Source organism: Homo sapiens, chromosome 12, assembly GCF_000001405.40.
Source record: "Homo sapiens chromosome 12, GRCh38.p14 Primary Assembly".
Lineage (NCBI taxonomy): Eukaryota > Metazoa > Chordata > Mammalia > Primates > Hominidae > Homo > Homo sapiens.
Genome location: NC_000012.12, coordinates 53,899,298 through 53,905,592, shown reverse-complemented (window position 1 = coordinate 53,905,592; position 6,295 = coordinate 53,899,298).

Here is a 6,295-nt window from a genome sequence, read left to right as displayed (position 1 = left end):
CCAAAAAGATTCTCAAACTCTAGTAATCAATAAAATGCAAATTAAAATAATCCATCAGATTAGTAAAATTTAAGAAGTATATACCTGGCTATCTAGTGTTTAGGAGGAAAAGGGTATGATAATACCAAATGCTGATGAGGATATGGAGCAACTGGAAGTCTTATACACTGCTAGTGAGTGTGTACATTGGCACAATGACTTTGGAAACAATTTAGGTTTATCTTCTGCAGTTGAAGATGTGCATACCCCATCATCTGCCAGTTCTTTTTTTTAAATTGTGATCAAAACCACATAACTTAAAATTTATCATTTTAACTTTAAGTATATAGTACAGTAGTGTTAACTGTATGTACATTGTTGTGCTATAGATCTCTAGACCTTTTTCAATTTGCAAAGCTGAAACTCTATATGCATTGAACAAGCAATCCTTTTCGCCCTCCCCACGGCCCTTAGCAACAATTCTACTTTCTGTTTCTAAGAGTTTGGCTATTTTAGATATCTTATAAAAGTGGAATTACACAGGATTTGTCTTTTTGTGACTGGCTTATTTCACTTAACATAATATCTTCAAGGTTCATCCGTATTGTAGCATATGACAAGATTTCCTTTTTTTTTTTTTTAAGGCTGGATAATACACCACATTTTTAAGTCCATTTATCAGTTTGTGGACATTTAGGTTGGTTTTACCTCTTGATTATTGTGAGTAATACTGCAATGAACACAACTACAAATATCTCTGAGACCCTATTTTCAATTCTTTCGGATAAATACCTAAAAGTGGGATTGCTAGATCATATGGTAATTATATTTTAATTTTTATTTTTTTATTATTATTATTTTTTGAGACATAGTCTCACTCTGTCGCCCAGGCTGGAATGCAGTGGCACCATCTCGGCTCACTGCAAGCTCCACCTCCCAGGTTCACGCCATTCTCTTGCCTCAACCTCCCGAGTAGCTGGGACTACAGGTGCCCCCCCCAGGCCCGGCTAATTTTTTTTTTTTTTTTTTTTTTTTTTGGATTTTTAGTACAGACAGGGTTTCACCATGTTAGCCAGGATGGTCTCGATCTCCTGACCTCATGATCTGCCCATCTTGGCCTCCCAAAGTGCCAATTTTTTTTTTTTTTTTTTTTTTTTTTTTTTTTTTTGGGAGATGGAGTTTCCCTCTTGTCACCCAGGCTGGAGTGCAGTGGCACAATCTTAGCTCACTGCAAACTCCACCTTCCGAGTTCAAGCGATTCTCCTGCCTCAGCCTCCCGAGTAGCTGGGATTACAGGTGCCCACTACCATAACTGGCTAATTTTTTATATTTTTAATAGAGACAGGGTTTCGCCATATTGGGCAGGCTGGTCTGAAACTCCTGACCTCAGGTGATCCGCCCACCTTGGCCTCCCAAACTGCTGAAATTATAGACGTGAGCCACCACACCAGCGCTATATTTTTATTTTTTTGAGAAACCTCAATCCTGTTTTCCAAGGCAGCTGCATCATGTTACACCCTTGCCAACAGTACACAAGGGTTACAGTTCTCCACATCCTAACCAACACTTGTTATTTTTTAATTTTTAAAATAATGACTATCCTAACATGTGAGGTGGTGAACAAAACAGAAAAGAAGAGTAAACAAAACAGAAAGAAAAAAAGTTTCTGGAGTTTGAAGATGAAAACAGGAAATGCTTAAAATAAATATTTCACACAGGGAAAATTTTAGAAAACCCATACCAAGTGCTGTTAGGTATGACCCACAATTGTCCAGGATCTCCTTGTGGCTTTGATTTGCATTTCCCCAATGATTAGTGATGTAAAGCATCTCTTCATATACTTCTTGGCCACTTGTGTATCTTCTTTGAAGAAATATCTATTCAAGTCCTTTGCCCATTTTCTAATAAATTATATTTTGTGTTGTTTGTGAGTTGTAGGACTTCTTTATATATTCTGGATATTAACCCCTTATCAGACATATGGCTTGCAAATATTTTCTCCTATTCCATAGGTTGCTTTTTCACTCTGTTGATTGTTTCCTTTGCTGTGCAGAAGTTTTTAAGTTTGATGTAGTTTCAATTGCCTATTTTTGCTTCTGTTGCCTGTACTTTTATGTCATGTCCAAGAAATCATGTCAAATCTAATGTCATGCAGCTTTTCTCCTATTTTTTTGGCAAGTCTTATAGTTTTCGGTCTTATGTTTGGGTCTCTAACACAATTTGAGTTAATTTTTCTACAGGGCCTTAGGTAATGGTCCAGTTTCATTCTTTCTCATTCAGTTTTCTCAACTCCATTTGTTGAAGAGATAATCCTTTCACCTTTATGTGTCTTGGCACTTTTGTCAAAGATCATTTGACCTTTAATTTATTTATTTATTTTTTTAGCTTGACTGCTCTGGCCAGGAATTCCAGGGCTATGTTGAATAGAAGTGGCAAGAGCAGGCATCCTTGCTTTGTTCCTGCTTTTAGAGAGAAAGCTTTCAATGTTTCACTACTGAGTATAAAGTTATCTGTGTCCAGAAGTTCTTAAATATGTATTCTAGAGAAAATTTTGTAAATATATTTCTAGAGACATGTACAACAATATTTATAACAGTATCGTTTATAAAAAACAAAGACCTAAAAACAACTGGACTAACTATTGACAGGAGAATGGCCAAACAAATTGTGGTGTGTTTATTTATTTAAGTATAATACAGCAGTAAAAATGAAATAAAGCTATATCCAGCAATAGGGATGAGTATCATAACATAATGTTGAGAGAAAAAAGCAGGTTGCCACATAATTCATATATTATGACAGAACTTTTACACACAGTAAAACACATCAGAAACTAAATAATATATTGTAAAGAATCTATATGTAGCCAAAATGTAATGAAATGCGATGAATGATAAATGCAAAATCTGGAGTGGAGGTTTCCTCCAAAGGGAATGAAAAGAGATATAATCAGATAGGGACACCAAACAGGCTTCACCAATATTAACAATAATCTATCTCTTAAGCTGTGTGGTAGGACATGGGTATATGTCCTAATTATTTCATCTTATATTTAAGTTATATATATTATTTTATATGTATGAAATATCTGAAGATAATAAAAATGCTTTCACTCATTCGAAAACCATTTATCAAGTACCGACTATGTATCAGTCACTGTTACAATTGCTTGAGATATAGGAGTGAACAAAATGGAAAGAAAAAGTTTCCAGAGTTTGAAGGTGAAAACAGCAAACACTTAAAATAAATATTTCAGCCAGGGAAAATTTTGGAGAACCCATACCAAGTTCTGTTATGTATGACCCACAATTGTCCGGGATATAGCACCCAAATTGGTTATCCCAGAATGAGACAGCAATTATAGGTAACTCCCAACCGTTTATGCTGGGCAAGGGGCACAATGGTGTGGGTAATCTAAGAGCAGGACTTATATTCTCAATTAGATCAATATTACAGGAAGGAAGAAGAGACAGAGTTCACCCAAATAGTAATCTACAGTATCAGTTGATCCAAATAATAAGAAAAAAGTAAATATCATTTGTACTTGTCTTTGGGGTATATTACCCTGCCAGAGTAGCCTATTCACTTAATGTACTTTCTCTTGCATAGTTTTTAAAAAAGTATTGCTAACTTCACACCCACTGCCTGGAACTGCTCAGGAGAAAACTGCTGCTGCTTCCATCACTCACTCAATAAATGTCTCTACTACATGTCCATCACTGCCCTGGATATAGGGGATACAAAGACAAATAAAATTTGATTCCTGTCCTCAAGGAGTTTAGTTTGTAGAGTAGCAGTAAAGAATGAGAGATTTTTTTTCAAAAATCTTTAAAACAACATAAGCGTTAAAATGGAAATATAAAACATTATTCTGTGTGCTATTGGCACACAGAAGAGGGGGCATCTAACTCTTCAGAGAGCAACACATCAATGTTGACTTCTCAGAAGTGGTGCTGTTTAGGCAACATTGAAGACCAGGTAGGAATTTCTCGGGAGGAGAACGAGAAAGGCATTCCAGACAGAAGAACCGACATATGAAGAGGCTTGTGGCATCCCAGGGCATGGGACAGCAGGAAGCTCAATGTGGCAGCAGCCTAGGGTAAGCAATGCAAAGTAGGATTGATGGGCAGTTAGTGCCACGCCCAAGAGCTTGGTCTCTATTTGATCAGCAATGCAGAGCCAAAGTTTGAGCAGAGAAGTAAACCAATCAGATTCATTATTTGAAAAATAATTCAGGTGGTGGTGTTGATGTAGAAGTTGACCTGGAAAAGAAAAGACATCTGGTAGAAAGAAGTATATGGTGGCTATTGCAATAGTTCAGGGAAATGGCTATCAAAATTTGAGCCAAAGCAAGGCAAAGAGGAGACAAAGAATAAATGTATTCAAGAGATATTTCTGAAATGCAATTCAATTGGCCTGAGTGATTAATTTGATAAGGAAGACAGGGAGTTGAGGATAATTGCGAAGTTTTTAGCCTGAGAGACTGGGCGAATGGTGAGTCTGAAACTGAGAGGAGGAATGCTCTGGAAAGATGATGGGTTGAAGAATAAAAGAGAATTGAAGTTTTAGGGAAAAGAGACTCAAGGAGAACTTACTCTGGGTGAGGAAATGAGAATATGGGCCAAGGACAGGAGAAAGAAGAATATGGTGTTTGAACAGAGGTGGAGAGGTTGACCTAAAAGTAAGGCTACGTCTTTCTCTAATTAGTATAAGAGATGTGGAGGGAAGGCTGGGTGCTTATAATAAAGTTTAGGGGCCAAGGGAAGAGAAGTTAAGGGAGTTAGCATCAGATGGCTGTAATTCGGGGGGAGATGTAAGAGAAAATCTGACCTATTGAGGGTGAATAGGAGACGTGAGGTGTGAGAATACCTTAGTACATGTACTTTCTTATTTACATATATTAACAAGATTGCAATTTTAAGCCACACTTGCAATCTGCAACTGCTCATCTTAAAAACACTTTCTGTTCTCTAGATGTTTGTCTTATCTATCATCAGGTCTCTCAGAAACTCTTTCTTGCAAGTAGACCTGGAGACTCACAAAGTTGGTTGACAGCAAAACAACTCAATTTAGCAGATCAGTGTCATTTCTTCCCATTTTTATGGTTACATGCAAAATTAGAACCCCTGAGCACTGAAACATCTACAAAAGCTTCTGGCCAGTTCAGGAAATCTGCTTAATATTTAGTAAGCTGCTTACACATTTGAGCTCTATGGAATCAGTGTAAACTCTCAAAGAAACATCTAGTTCAATTCAACATTTATTGAGAACCGATGTAATAGGCACTACACTAGATGCTAGGGACTCAAGGACAAGCAAAACACAACCTTTCCCATTGGAAAGCTCACAGTCTAGGGGAGCAGCTTCCCTCTTGGTAGGTAGAAGGCAGTATGTATATATACAATGAGCTGCAGGGAAATCCGTGCTCTGTTTTTACTTTTAATGTAGCATTACTTCTTCTGTGTGTAGATGACTAATATGCAGTCAGCTTTTAAAAGTTTTAATAAATTTTGACATAAGTGTACATTTGTAAAACCATCATTACATTCAAGATAATAAATGTATCCATCATCCGCAGAAGTTTCTTTGCCATCTTCTCCTCCAGCCCTCACCCCTGCCCAGGCAACCAATGATCTGATTTCTGTCGCCGTGGAATAGCTTGCATTTTCTAGAATCATATATTATGTACTTTATTATCTGGCAACAGTCAGCTTTTTTTTTTTTTTTTTTTGAGACATGGTCTCACTCTGTCACCCAGGCTGAAGTGCAGTGGCATGGTCATTGCTTGCTGCAGCCTCGAACTCCTAGACTCAAGAGATCTTCCAGCTTCAGCCTCTCGAGTAGCTGGGACCACAGGAGCACACCACCACACCTAGCTAATTTTTATTTATATTTTGTAGGACGAGAGCTCAAACTCCTGGGCTCAAGTGATCCTCCCATCTCGGCCTCCCAAAGTGTTGTCATTACAGGTGTGAGAAACTGCACCTGGTTCAACAGTCAGCTTTTGACAAACCATAGTAATGGAAGTAAATGTGGATAATTTTCCCTTCTTTCCTTCCTTCCTTCCTTCCCTCCTCCCCTCCTTTCCTCCCTCCCTTCCTTCCTTCTTTCCTTCCGTCCTTCCCTTCCTGCTTCCCTTCCTTTTTCCCTTCCTTCCTTCATTCTCTCCCTCCTTCCTTCCTTCTTCCTTCCCTCCCTCTCTGCCTCCCTCCCTCCCTTCCTTCCCTTCCTCCTTCCCTTCCTTCCTTCTTCCCTTCCCTCCCTTCATTCCCTCCCTCCTTCTCCTTTTTCCTTCTCTTTCTTACTTTCTTTCTTT